Source organism: Homo sapiens, chromosome 4, assembly GCF_000001405.40.
Source record: "Homo sapiens chromosome 4, GRCh38.p14 Primary Assembly".
Taxonomy (NCBI): Eukaryota; Metazoa; Chordata; class Mammalia; order Primates; family Hominidae; genus Homo; species Homo sapiens.
The window spans coordinates 78,208,291-78,223,759 of NC_000004.12; the positions used below are offsets into that span (position 1 = coordinate 78,208,291).

The 15,469-nt window shown below is 40.9% G+C and overlaps 1 protein-coding gene across 2 annotated transcripts in view, besides 1 other annotated feature; it reads left to right on the forward strand.

Moving 5' to 3' along the window:
- Positions 1 to 15,469, forward strand: part of FRAS1 (Fraser extracellular matrix complex subunit 1) — a 486,947-nt gene that overhangs the window by 150,968 nt on the left and 320,510 nt on the right. The gene's annotated exons all lie outside the window — the stretch shown is intronic.
- Positions 14,090 to 14,974: an enhancer, noted in NCBI's record as "OCT4-NANOG hESC enhancer chr4:79143534-79144418 (GRCh37/hg19 assembly coordinates)". NCBI's record gives its function as "activates a minimal SCP1, AML or CMV promoter by ChIP-STARR-seq in primed H9 embryonic stem cells {active_cell/tissue: H9 hESC(primed)}" and the evidence as "EXISTENCE:reporter gene assay evidence [ECO:0000049][PMID:30033119]".

Here is a 15,469-nt window from a genome sequence, read left to right on the forward strand (position 1 = left end):
ACTGCAGCCTTGAGCTCTAGATCTTCCCTCTGACATAGCCAACCCATTAAGAAGGAATCAGAAAAACAAATCTGGGAATATGACAAAGCAAGGTGCTTTAACACCCCCGCAAAATCACACTAGCTCACCAGCAATGGATCCAAACCAGAAGAAATCTGTGAATCGCCAGAAAAAGAATTCAGAATGTCAGTTATCAAGGAGGCAACAGAGAAAGGTGAAGTGGAATTTAAGGAAATAAAAAAATGATACAAGAAATGAGGGGAGAAATCTTCAGTGAAATAGCATAAATAAAAAACAATCAAAACTTCAGGAAATAAAGGACACATTTAGAGAAATGCAAAATGTTTTGGAAAGTCTCAGGAATAATAAATTTTTATTTATTATTAAATAAATAGAACTGGTTTTCAAAACTTCATTGTTTATTTACTTATATTAAACTTTTTCTACATTATAATTTATCACACAAGTAATACATGCTTATTGTAATAAGTATTCAAGATGACGTTAAAACTTAGCATATTCTTCCATAACTTTTCCTAAGTTCATACAATATAGAATTCTAGGGGTTGGGCGCATCAGATCACACCTGTAATCCCAGCACTTTGGGAGACCAAGGTGAGTGGATCACTTGAGCCCAGGAGTTCGAGACCAGCCTGGACAACAAAGTGAGACCCTGTCTCTACAAAAAAATAAAAAATAAAAAAATTAGCCAGGTGTAGTGGCACATGCCTGTGGTCCCAGCTACATGGGAGGCTGAGGTGGGAGGATTTCTTGAGCCAGGGAGGTCAAGGCTGCAGTGAGCTGTGGTCGTGCCATGACACTCCAGCCTGGGCAGCAGAGCAAGACCCCATGTAAAAAAAACAAAAAAAAAACAAAGTATGATTCTTTTTACAGAAAAGCCATACCTAGTTTAGGTCGTACTGAAAAGAGGAAAGTGAATTGTAGTTTTTATACCCATTATATATGTACGTCCATGCTCCAAAAGCACCACATAGAGTTTGCTCTCTTCAGTAGTTAACCCTGGAGGTTGCATGCACTGGTGGGCCCCTTCCCTTCTGGCTTCCTGTTGGGTGTAAGCAATGGAAGACACCACAGGAGACTAGGGGGTGGCAGGAGAATGAGGTAGGGATATTTATTCCTCCAGCTCCCTCCCTCTGTTGGGTGGCTTCCTCTGTCCCCAAAAGACCACAGCTCTTTTGGGTTCTGGAACTGTTCTCCTTTATGTCTGTTCAGACCTGGTGGTGCTAATGGCTATCTCTGTTTGCCTGGGGCTTCCTTTACCCTACCCACACCTCTGTCAATAGTCTATATCTTATACTTTCCTTGGGTCCCCAGTTGGAGTGAGCCATCTATTTTCTGCCCTTTTCTCTGAGGTTTGTGCAGTTCTGTGGTTCTGAGGGCAGATCCTTAAACTGTCAGGATCTCCCTGGCTAACTTATCTATTATTGAAAGGGTCATAGCAGCAGGATCATATTGAAACTGACCTTTGAAAATAACTGCTCTTAATTAAAAGGAGTATTTGATCCCAAGTAAATCGTCAAGGAGGCTAATTTCATTCACCTTCTTTACTGTTGACCTGCCTCTCAAATGAACTGACAAAGCCAGAACAGCCCGTTGACTCTGTGCTCTTTAGCTCCCTGTGCCAGAGTTCCTGCGGTTCTCAGGCTGTGTCCTGTCTGGGGTTCAAATAGCAGAGTTGCCTAAGCTCTTTATCCTTGTTGACCCAGCCTCTGCTGAGCTCCTTACCTGCCTCATCTCTTGCTAGTCCCCTTCATCCTTCATGTGATGGTAGCACACAGCACACTGTGCTATTCCACTTCACACCCCAGGACCTGTGTTCCTGCACTTCCTCTTCCTGGAACAGCTGCTTCTCCCTCCTTCCCCCTTCCCTAGCCCTCACAACTCTCTTTTATTTAATCTATCTAATAGCTTCCAAGACTTAATCTGGGACCACCTCCCAGAAGCCTTTTTCTCCAAAGCTGGGCTGAAGGCCCTGGTCTCTGTGTTCTCATTCTAAGCCACTCATACCTTGGTGATAGCATGAATCACCTTGCATGTAAATTAGCCACTGTGATAAGCTTTGTGTTTAAATGTACTGTTCATTCTCCCAACAGACTCTATCAGGCCTAGGTCTATATCACTTGGAGTCTCAGCACCAAATACAGTGTCTGGTGCATAGTGAGTAGACACATATCTCTTACGAAGGTGCCCTGATTTGTAATAAATGACAGTTATATTTTCGGGCTTTCTTGACTTCCACAGAGTGTCAGCTTTTGCTTTGCCTTCCTCTGCCCCAGGCTTTTCATATCTCAGGGATACTTGCATGCCCTGAGAAGTTGGGGCCATAGGGATGGCTCATGTGTCATTGTCCTGCCCTTGTCTACGAGAAGGATGATACAATTATGGAAAATAGGTTTGCCTGGTATGGCAGCATCTGAGACAGAGAAGGTAAGTGAATTATCTATATCTATACAATCATCACAGAGCAGGGGAATTGTAGGTGTTGGAGCTCCTGGCAGAAATCAATGGTTGTTAGGTTATAAAATCACAGGGCCTGTTAGGTGGCAGTGCCTCCAAAGAAGCAGTAAGCTACTTTCTTCCTGGTTGTGCAATGTGGGGAGTTTATGGGCACCCCATGTCCGCACCCACCAAGGCTTCATTTCCCTTCACTGAGGTGTGAGCATTCTCCTCCTGGTGCGCGTATGGTGTTGGACAGCATGGCCTCCCCATAGGGAAGGATGGTAATTGTTGGCAAAGAAAGGCAGTGTGGATATCTAAGTGCTTAAATTATAGTGAGAAGTTTCATTTGAAAGTAATTGCATGACATAACTAATAAATATTTATAGATGTCGGGGCAAGGGTTATTTCAGAAGGGAGTGGGTTATAGACAGGGAAAGGACATGAAGGAAACTTCTGGGTGTTGATAAGTTTATCTATGGAAACCTGGGTGGTGGTTGCATCACTGTCTAAATGTGTAAAAGTATTGTTGAGCCATGCACTGAAGACAGGCGCACCTATCTACCTTATGGAGAAATGCCATCTTTCGATGTATTTTTAAAAAGAAGTCAACTTGTGAAAGTTTATATACTGTCATTGAAAAAGCAGGGAGGCAGGAGGCTGATTCTGACACCCTAATAGAAGGGGCTATGACTAAAATACTGCCTTTGAACTTATGTGCTCATTGGGCTAACACAGATCCATGGAGAAGGCATGGGGAAAGCCATGTTGTGGCAAGCATTTGTCTGAGCACCTGTACCCTCTAGCTGCCTTCCAAGGGCTCTTCACCTGGACTACCCAGCATGGGCCCAGGGGCTTGGGAAATTGTTTCACTTCATCAAATTTTTCCTTGGACTTGAGCTCAAGTAAAGTTCTGACATTAAGTAATCCCCTCTTTTAAAAAAAATTGTTGTAATATATGTACAGCATAAAATTTGCCATTTTAACTGTGTAATTCAGTGGCATTAATCACATTCATGGTGTTGTGCAACCATCACCATTATATGTTTCTCAATTTTTTAAATAATCCCAAACAGAATCCCTGTAACCATTAAGCAGTAACTTTCCACTCTCCCTCCCTCTGCCTCTGGTAACCCCTCATCTACTTTCTCTCTCTCAAAGTTTGCCTATTGTAGATATTTTAGAAATGGAATCATACAAGATCTGCCATTTTGTGTTTGGCTTATCTCATTTGGTATGTTTTCAAGGTTCATCTGTGTTGTAGCATGTATCAGAACTTCATTTCTTTTTATGACTAATATTCCATTGGATGCATATGTATGTATATATATACACATTCATTCATCTTTCATCTGTTGAAGAAACTTGGGTTGTTTCCACATTTTGGCCATTGTGAATAATTTTGCAGTGAATACTGGCTAAGTAATACTTATAAAAAGTATGTAAAATTTGAAAATTGTCACCTTTGCAAATTCTTGTTTGTCCTTCAAGTCTCATCTAAAATGTTACCTTCTCTGTGGAACCTACTGTGACCTCCTTCCTCTTGCATTCGCTGCATTTTGTGCATCGTCTTCCCTTTCTGTAGGCCTGAGGGTAGTAGTGCCTCTTGTCTGAAGATGTGGACTATGCATGTACCCCCAAAACCAAGTCAAAGGAGCTTAAGAAAGGGAGAGGCTGGTAAATCAAAGAAGTGAGTCTGAAGAGATCATCTGCACAAAGGCAATAAAGGTCTGTCCTAAGGCAAGCAGAGAATAGGAATTCAAGGATATTAGGATTTGGGAGCAAACCTGACTTTTACTTCTTTGAAAGTGGTGTGGAGCAAACCTAGGGATAGAAATGTCTCCATAAATGCACTTATTTATTCCTTATGTTCATACCTTTTACTATACCACATTTCACACACTCACAGGGTCAAATGTATGATGTCAACTTAGAATTTCCAACACTGAGCTTAGCACCTAATGAGTACTTGAATTCACTGAAATATTGATTCTACTTACTGTGACTGAGCAAATAACAGTGGCTTATGTGCTAAGGTTGAATTCCCTGAGAAATAAGTTCTGGAATGGAAATTGATATATAAGTGTTTTATTGGAGAGTGTTCTTGGGGAAAACACTATGAGTATCAGGGAAGCAAAGTTGAGCAGAGAGAGAAGGTGCATTGTGACACAGTCACAACAGAGGCTTCAGCCAATCCCATGGGAGCTCTGGAGTTGGGACGGTGATTCCTAGTTGGCCGTGCATCTAGGCAAGGGAGCCAGGGTTTTGCACCTCCTTATGGACTAGTCTCTGGATGCAGGCTGATCCAGGGAGAAATAATATCGTGGGACACAGACCCCTTCAGCCAAGAGCAATTCCTACCCCACAATCCTGGCAGCTGGGAGAAGAAGGAGTATTTCCATCCTGAAGGGAGAGATCTAAGTGGCCTACCATGATTAGAATGTGGCTCCACAATTTTGGAGATCCAAGTTCCTTCTGTTTTGTAGATCCATACATCCCTCAAGGTTGCATGATCAATAAGGTTTGTCCCCCCATTTGCATTGCAAGGGAAAGGGCAGAACATGAACATATTTCTCCTCCTTCTGTCGTTCCTTCAAGTGCTTTCCACTTGGGCATGACCCAAAGGTTACACACGATATTTCCATTGACTTGGCCGTTGGCCAAAATGCAGTCAGGTAAACACACTTGCAGCAAAAGAGGCTGGGACATCATTTCTTTCTTGTCTGTCTCTATAAAACACAAGTGGAGGAAACCAAATTATAACAGTAGTTCTTTGGGGTCTTTTTTCATGTCTTATTTTCCATGTTTTCTGGAGTAAGCACATAGAGCTTTTGTAATCTGGATAAATATTATTAAAATGTATAACAGATATACTTGACTGCTAGGAGAATATGGACCCTTAAAGGGTGATTTTTTTTTTACTGGATTCTGTATCAAATATGGAGACTACAGAGAGGAAGAAGTTGATAGACAGTTGCCCAAAATGGCTTTAAATAATTTTTTAAATTCATTAACTCTGCAAACACTAACTGAGCGCTCTTCTTGGGCAGGAAACCATTTCCTCTATTGCTTTTGTTCAGTTTTCATTGGTCATCACCTCTGTAACTTCCCAAGATCAAAAGTTAGTCACCTACAAGTAGGGTGCTTTTTCAAGTTAGAAACACTCATGTGTATAATTCTTGGGTCTCAAATGTGCACAGATAACTTTAATAGGTGGTGGGTTCATTATTTATGGTTGCCGCTGAATTTAGCACGGAGCTGGAACTCGGGAATAAGGTCTGTGCATCTTCGGGAAAGTAGTTGGTTCTGGGGAATTTGGTGGGAGGAGCTGACTTTTCTGCTGTGGCTCCTTTTATAGACTGGATTGATGTAGCTGAAAACAGCAGAGTAGTAAAAGGGTAAAAATGTCTCCTTTCTTAAATCTTGCTCCATCTCCTAGCCAGTACACTTGTGTTCTATGACTTGTTTAGGCAAAGGTACTGTTATGTTCTATCTGTCATAAATCTTCTTGCTTAACTTGATAGTATGTGGTTGGATTAGGAATAATCTAAATTCTGTATCTGTCTTGAAGTTATCAACAAGCCTGTCATAAATTGTTTTGCCACATGCACATTTAACACATAAATCAACTTTTGAAAAATGTTTAAGCAAACACAGAAGTTGAGAGAATGGTATAATGAACCTCATGTAACCTTCATCTGGCTTCAAGAACTGTTAACATTTGCCAGTCTTCCTTCATCTGCCTTTCCCATTTTTAATTTTTTAGCTGGAAATTTTTAAAGCAAATCCTTCATTGTATCTGAACATCCTACATACATCTTGATAAAAACAGCACAGTTTGTGGGTACCTCTCAGATTTATTGAGATCTGCCTGTGAAAAGTGTTTTTGATTTTACAGCAGAAATTTCCCTCAAGCCAATAGGTTGCTTGTGCCAAAGCCAATTAATTTACTCATTCATAACTGAGAAAAACAGCCCTGTACTGTGGGCAAGTGAGTTGTGCAGCTTTACCTGGCTGTTGCTGGCTGTTTATTTTAATTTGTCTCCATGCACAGAACATTACTAGCCAGTCCTATCTTGACAACCTTGGATGAACTGAGGGGCCCTTGTCATGGAATTAGGGGACAAAAACCAGCCTTCTTTGCACCAAGGCTGTCCTCCCAGTTGTTATGATCTAGGACCATAGTCTGTGTTCCTGCAGATTAATGACTATGTCAAAGGTGTCTTTCCCCCGATCTCTAAAGCAGTCAATCAGGGGCCAATCAGTAAACCTGCCTTTCTGGATGCTAAGTGTCAAGATGCAGAGAGAAATGAGGTTTGGGGTACACCTGATGGCTATCTCAGCCATACTGTGTAACTTGACGCTGGTCTATAAAATGTTTGTTTTAAAAAAATTTTAATTGTGGTAAAATACGTATGACATAAAATTTACCATCTTTATTATTATTATTATTATTATTATTATTTTGAGATGGAGTCTTGCTCTGTCGCCAGGCTGGAGTGCAATGGTGTGATCTCTGCTCTCTGCAACCTCTGCCTCCTGGGTTCAACGAATTCTTCTGCCTCAGCCTCCCAAGTAGCTGGGACTACAGGTGCATGCCACCACGCACAGCTAATTTTTGTATTTTTAGTAGAGATGGGGTTTTACCATGTTGGCCAGGATGGTCTTGATCTCTTGACCTCGTGATCTGCCTGCCTTGGCCTCCCAAAGTGCTGGGATTATAGGCATGAGCCACCGCACCCGGCCAATTATTTTTAACTGTACAGGTCAGCAGTGTTAAGTGTATCCACATTGTTGTACAACCAATCCACAGAACTCTTCATTTTGCAAAATGGAAACTCTGTATCCTTTAGACAACTCCCTATTTCCTTCTTCCCCAATCCCTTGGCAACCTCCATTCTATTCTCGCTTTATGAATTTTACTACTGTGGGTATCTCATATAAGTGGAACCATACAGCATTTGTCATTTTGTGACTGGCTTATTTCACTCAGCTTAATATCCTCAAGGTTCATCCAATTTGGAGCATATATCAGAGTTTTCCTTCCTAAGCTGATTGATATTCCATTGTATGTATTGACTACATTTTGTTTATCCATTCATCTGTCGACAGACACTTGGGTTGCTTCCACCTTTTGGCTATTGTGAATAATGCTGCTATGAATGTGGGTGTGCATAAAATATTTTTTAGTGAAAACTGATTTCCCTATTCTGGAATTTAGTGCTTCTTCTTATTTTTGGCATCTTTCATTGGTTGAGTCCTCTCCTAGCCTGTTATTGTAGAACCTGTAATACTATGTCATTTCTTACAGATCCTGGGCTTTTTCTTTCCCTGACATCTGTGGCCACCACTTGGCACAGTGCTTGGGACATCGAATGTGCTTAGTGGATACTTATTAATCAGTGAATGAATGAACACAGTAAAATTAAATGGAAGGGAAACAAAAAGTTGTTCTTTCCCATGAAATGGTTTAGACGTCAGGCTTGTCTAGATTTGCCCTAGAATGCTTCTCTTGCAAATATCTGGCCCATGTACCCACCTAAATTAACTCAGTATGGATGAATATAACTATTATTCTTTGTATTTTTGGTCAAGATGCACAACCCATATCTCTTTTGCTGCATTTCTTTCCATAGTTTGAACTTAGTAGTGGCTCAACATATATTCACTATAAATGATTAAATCAGTGCATAAATACATGCATAAGGGAATGATTTCATGAATGAGCCAACTAAGAATATATTCTTTGGTGAGTGATCTATTTCTTGGAAACCCTCACTGTTATAGATAATAGGGATAATAGAGAAGCAGAGGGGAACAGGTCATAGTTTATTTTCTCATTCCACAGATATCTGCAGTTGTGGGCCCTGGCAGTTCAGCAGTAAACCGTTCTTACTTTTAGGGCCTTATCTTCCAGGGAGTGAAGCAGATGTAAACAGAATGGTTTCCAGTTGTTTTTAGTGCCATGAAGCGAAATGGAAAGCCATGATAGAGAATAATATGGGCCTACATTGGATAGAGTAGTCAGGGAAGACTTGGATGAGGAGGTGGAATCTTAAGAGTGAGAGGAAGTGGGTCAGGAGAAGAAGGGAGAGACTGTGTCAGAGAAAAGAAACCTTTATGGCCACAGGAGAGTATTTTCAAGGAGATGCTAGAAGACCAATATGACTAAGGACACGTAGGGGATAAGACTGGAGCAAAGTCAGGGGCCTGGCAGACCTGATGAGAAATTTAAGTTTTTTTAGTCAGTGAGATTACACTGATGTGTTTTTAGGATGATGTGTTAGTCAGGGTTCTCCAGAGAAACAGAACCAATAAAAGATAGCTAGATAACTAGATAGATAGATAGATAGGAGATTTATTATGGAGTTGGTTGGTATGGGCAGAAGCTGGATGTCCCAGCTGAAGGAGAGAGAGAGAGAATTTGCCCTTCCTCTGCCTTTTTGTTCTATTCAGGCCCTCCAAGGATTGGATGATGCCCTCCCTCATTGATCTTGTTTACTGTGTACTCATTCAAATGCTAATTTCTTCTAGAAACATCCTAACAGATACACCCAAAAAGAATACTTTCCAGGTATCTGGGCATCCCTTAGCCCAGTCACATTGACACATAAAATTAACCATGACATATGAGAATGGTATGATCTGGTTGCTGTAGGCAAAGTTGTTGGGGGGCATGTCTGGAAGAGGACTGTTCTGTGCGGGACTGCCAGAGCTTCAGCCCAGCTAAGAGGTGAGAGTGCCCTGGACCAGAGGTGTCAGAGGAGCCCAAGAGATGTGGACAGCTTAAAGATTCATTTTGGAGATAAGAGATTGCTTTCCTCATCTCCCATGTTTAGTCTGCTTATACCTATTTTTATTTTGTTAGCTCTTAAGTCACTTCCTCAAGGCCTGCAAAATCTGTTGTTGGCAGTTGTCGCTCACTGCAATTTTTATGAATAATTTTCCCCAGTACTGTGCCAGATTTTCAGCATTCATTCAATGGACGGTAGCTATGGCAAACTCCTATTCCCTCTAACTCATGAACCTACAAGATATCTCCCCCTCCCTTCTCTCCCCTCCCCTCTCCTCCCCTCCCCTCCCCTTCCCCTCTCCTCTCTTCCCCTCCCCTTCCCCTCTCCTCTCTTGCCCTCCCCTTCCCCTCTCCTCTCTTCCCCTCCCCCTCTCCTCTCTTGCCCTCCCCTTCCCCTCTCCTCCCTTCCCCTCCCCTCTCTTCCCCTCCCCTTCCCCTCCCCTCTCTTCCCCTCCCCTTCCCCTCCCCTCTCTTCCCCTCCCCTTCCCCTCCCCTCCCCCCTCCTCTCCTCTCTTCTCTTCCTCTCTCTCTCCCTTCTCTCTCTCTCTCACTCTCTCTCACACACACACACACACACACACACACACACACACAAGTTGTATTTATGTTAATATTTTACCAAATGAAGTATGATAATTCTGTCCATCCTGGTTTCTCCTCTCTTGGACTCTTAAGAAATCTGATTGATTTTGGAGAATACACACACAGAGAGAGGGGAACTATCTCAGAAGGGTCTATGCTTGAAATACAGCACACTAGGCTACCCTAAAGCTCTCTTTTTGTGCATAGAGGGTAGAAAGTTTGGGGTATATCTGGAAATATGCTCACATGTGCTGTGATTTGTTCAACCTATTCTGAATTGGAGAAGAGTAGACTATGCATTTCCCAAGTTCAATACAGTTCATTACGTGAGCATTGCATCACCAAGCCAGGAGTGGACAGTTGCAGACTGTGTGGACATGGATCATCAAGTGCATACTGTTTGTCGTATGATATCTGATTGAAACCTAGGTTCTGACCTAGCTCCTGGATCTTGTCTAATGGCAGATCTGAGAGAATTACTCTGTAGAATGTTTGGATCCACTGTCATTCTGGCCCTACTCTTGAGATTGCAGAGAGTTAGCCCCAGAATCAGTCAAACCAGTCTTCCCAGAGGTACTGAAACAAATGTTGATCCAGCACTGTTCCAAACCCAGAGCCACCCACTTGTCACCTGTGGGAGAGGACAAGAAACCAATTTGTTTGGGAGATTAGTGAGAAGGTGACACATGTAGTTTGCTTGCATCCAAATATTCTGAGTCTGCCTTCTCTGTGTGATTTTCCAAATATAAAATGTGATATTTCTTAGAAAATGATCATTAAAACAAATTCTTTATCCTTTCAATTCACAAAAGATGACCTTGAAGTTTACAAAAGACACATTTCTTTCTATTCTTATAGAGGGAACATGGTGTATTTTAGGGTTCATTTTCCCTAATAGAGGATTTCAGCTCCAGTATAATTCAGGAAATGCTTCTATGGTAATTACATTCTTTTGCTGGTTTTTTTCTTTCTCATCTTGGAGATAATTTTATTTTTTCATGCTATAAACCAAATGCTATTTAATGTTCTTATTAGGGAAGATCTATTAATATATCAGTGAATTGCAGCCCTACTTATACATCTATTATCAGACTGAATTACTTATTTGCTTAAGAATGAAGTTCTACCTCATTTAAGGCCATTTTTGTCTTTTAGCAAATGAATTCTATTTGAATTTTCATGAGTATGTTTTATTTCACACCAAAGACCTATTATTTTAGAAAATAAAAATATTAAAACTTTTTTAAGACAACAAAAAATGTATTATCTGCTTATAAACAGTGGAAGTAGAACCACAAATAATATATTTCCTAATTGCTTTTTCTTTTAGACATAGCAACAATTGATCATGTGTAATGTAGATATCAGCCAGTTTCTAGGACAGATAGTATATATTACTAAACAAAAGTGTATTTTAAAAAAGCTTTGAAAAGAGCCACCTGCCAGACCAGATTGATTAAGCATCTAAATAACATGTTGAATTTAAAATATATTTGTGTAAGATACCTGTTTCATCCTTGAGAAACAATAATAAACTTTGTTGAGAAGGTTGAGTTTTCTCCAGAGTTTACTTAAGATGTCAGGATAAGTAATTGCCTTGCTGCTACAAATTTGGAACTTAACATTTTGTTGGGCCTATTTTTGCTGCCACTCCATAGATAATATATTTCATGAAGGTTTTTTTCATTGGCAGAAGTTAGTTCCTTTTGTTTTCTCTGCAGAAAAAAACTTGTTTTGCTCTGTGATAGGCAGGTATCCAAGTACTAATACTTTTCTTTTCAGTCTAGAATCAGGTAATGAAGGCCCATCATTCTCACCGACAGAGGAGATGACAGTCTTGCTCATCCCATATCCTCTAGTACAGCTCAAGGACAGGAACAGGAGCTGGAATTTTATCAGCAGGCTCAAGAGTCAGAGGGCAGTAGTGATGTGGATTGGAGTAGATGATTAACTCTTTGAAGACTCCTCTCATTTTATCATCTCCAAATTGACCAGAATCTTTAACACTGTTCCCTCATTTATCCCTTTGAATGATACAGACACAATCTATTTTGTTGATTCACATTTTCTTCTGCTTTTTCTGATGCAGTAGATTAGACGTTCATGGACTATAGCTTGTGGGCCAAATTCAGTCTATGGCTGGTCAAATTCAGCCAAGAATGGATTTTACATTTTTAAATGGCTTAAAAAATCATAAAAGTATTTTGTGACACATGAAAATGATATGTCAGTTCCCCCAAGTAAAGGTTTATTGGAACATAGACCTGCTGATTTATTTACATACTGTCTGTGGCTTTTTCTCTACAACGTTGACAAAGTTGAGTTTACATAGTTGAGTAGTTACAAGAGACCAAATGGCCCACAATGTCGAGGTTGAGACAAGTCCAGGCAGTTCTAAAAAAATATGTTGTCTACTATGAGTATAGCTACAGTCTTGTTCTTACCTGTAGTGGCGATTTTTCTGTATTGTGGAAAAGGAACCAAATGGAGAAAATTTCTCATGTTCTGTATAATCTAATTTCATTAATAGAACAATCAAAGCAACAAAATATTACAGTCCATTCAGACAGTAAATCTTCTAATCTGAAGGTGTGAGACTAGAGCAGCCTTTGATTGTACCTACTCTCTCTCTAGCCATTTTATTTAGCAGCTCATCTCAAGAATACAGACATTTCTTATCAATGTTACTATGAAAATTTCAAGAATACTAGTAGCATTTTTTTCTTTTTCTTTCTTTTTAAAGAAATTAACACGTTTATTAAAAAATAATACAGGCTGGGCATGGTGGCTCACAACTGACTTTGGGAGGCTGAGGCGGGCAGATGGCTTGAGCTTAGGCATTTGAGACCAGTCTGGGTGACATGGCAAAACCCTGTCTCTACAAAAAATACAAAAATTAGCCAGATGTGGTGGTGTGCACCTGTAGTCTCAGCTACTTGGGAGGCTGAAGTGGGAGGATGGCTTGAGCCCAGGAGGCAGAGATTGCCGTGAGCTGAGATCACGCCACTGCACTCCAGCCTGGGCGACATAGCCAGACTCTCTCAAAATAATAATAATAATACATAACCAGTTATGTTTTTTAACTCAAGAAATGGTAATATAGAATTTATTATAAAGGCTAAATATATCAAATTTCTTTCATGTTCTCCATTAGTATTGTAAGATTTTTTTCCTCCTCTGTAAAACATCTTTACTTATTATAAATACTGTACGTACACAAAGCTAACTTGATGGTAAACAACTTCTGGGCTGATTAATTGATAGTTGAAGTAGAATTACCCGAGGGTTTTTTGGCATATGTATTAGAAACTTTAAAAAATTTGCATATGTTCTGTCTTTATTTATGCAGATCATCTAAGTAAGATGCCATTTTCCATGTTTATAAGATCTAACTGTTATCTCAGAAATAAACCAGTTGGTATGCCTTAGAAGGGACCCTCATTCTCCAAATACTGTTATTTTCTACAAATATACATGGATCCTTGCCAAGCTTCATTTCATTCTTTGCATTGTGTGGCTCACCGTCCTCCCATTTTTAGAAGGGGCTCTTATTAAACCACCTTGTGTGTGTTGAACAGTGTGATTCAGGGACATATTGTCCTACAAAGAGTTTTGCAGCAAACCCTGCTTTGCTAATGAATACTTCCTCTTTCCTACATTTGACATGAGGCTTTTGGACAAGGTCACAACACCCCTGTAAGTCCCATATTGTATGTCAGTCATGGGGCCAAAAATGAATAAAGACTGAAATAGTATATTTTGGATGAAGCCTAGGAAACAAATTATAGTGTTCACTCTGTCTTTAATGGAATCATTCCTCAACCGTACTGGAAGTCTCAGGTTTATCCTCAGTGTGACCAGATAGAACTTTCCCTGTTAACAGTGGGTGTCATTAGCCTCGTATAAGGTCTGGAAGAATACAGGTGAGCAGGGCAGAGCCGTGGAGCTCTGCCCCCCTGGAGCTCTGCCCTGGTTCAATCTGGACTATGTATTAATGGGCTCAAGGCACTGGTTGATTCTGCTCAGCTCTGGAAGAGTTACGGAGTTATCAAGCCAGAATTTGGGAGGACTCCTGTGGAATCTATTGGAACACCACAGTGGGATTCACTAGGATTCTGGCACTGGTCAGCAAGTTTTCATGGTCCAGTTATTCAAAGTTGCTTGCTGCCCCCCTCTCCCGTTGCTGTCCACTGTGTGGTCTCCTGCTTATTTCATGCGTGTGCATTTCATCTCACCGATGAGCCCATGAACTTCCCCAGAAACTCATTGTCTTCTATTTCCGTAACAGCTCCTAACCACTAGTCGGGCTTTGCACACAGCGACTTCTCCGTAAATGTTGACTGCAGGGCAGAAAGAAAGGCTAAAAGTTCTTAGGAGAATGTTTGCCTTTGCATGTATATGCTGGCGATGCTAATAAGTCCCAGCTAGACCTGGCAGTGAGTAAGTTCAGGGGTGGCAATTTAATTTTCTTGCTATTAGTAAAACAAACAGTAGGTGGGATGGGTGGTAAGCTTAAATATCTCTGACGCGCCATTTAAACCATCCATCCCACCTGTGGGTTGTCTGCAGCCTGCTCTTTTGTTGCGGTGGGTCTCCTAATTTGCTTTTCAGTCCCTTTCATCTTATCATTGTTCTCAAAGGCACAGCTCTGCAAACCACATAGAGGCCTTTCAACTTCCGCTGCATTTTGTTTTATTCAGCCAATTGACTAGTACTGTCAGCTAATTGGATTGGAAATGTAAAATGAAAGCTGTATTATTCAGCTGCCAAGCCTCCTCACTTGGCAGGGAGTGGGTGATGCTGGTAATTGTACCAGAAGTGTAATTGCTCTGGGTTCTGCCTCTGGATTTAACAATGAACCCTGGGAGGGTCTTCCTCTGAGACACTTGATACCTGCTTCTTTTCGGTGGCTTCCTGGCAAACAGTGAGGCTGGAAGCAAATCGAGTGAAGCATTTTTGTGTTGTTAGAGAATACAACCGGTGTGTATTTTGCTGACTGCGGGAGTGGATTGCTTGGTCTGAGTACTGAGTCAGTATGTCATTCCCATCAGAACTGTCAGTTAATTTCCTCTTGGTTTGGAATGGGGATGGGCTCCGCATCCCTGGCAGTTAATTTCCTCTTGGTTTGGAATGGGGATGGGATCCACATCCCTGGGGGTGAAGATGCTGAATTCACATGCCAGTTGTGGCCCATCATGCCAGGGTGTTCTTGGAAAAATAGTTGATGCAGAACAGAAGCCCATTTTGTAAACTAGTTATGAATGAGGAAAGGTTTACATGTCTGTAAAGAGTTGAATAGCTTAATGGAAAAATAAGGAAAGTAAAATGTCAATGATTAGTTTACCATTTAATTTGATCATCTTGGTGGTTTTGGCCCAGGCAGCTTTCTTTTCTTTCTACTTTAATTCATTAATCTAATGACAGTAGTGAACAACACTTTAGGGTAGATTATGTTGGCTTAGTACATGGGAACATATGGTATAGGTACTTCCATTCCTCTTCTCAGCTTAACCCTGAGCCTGCACAGACAATGGTAATCTTTCCCATTTCACTTGCCAAACAGAGCTTCAGAATCCTCCTCAACATAGCACTTCAGATAACTATTTCCAGGGCTGGCATGTGTGATAAAGCCTATTT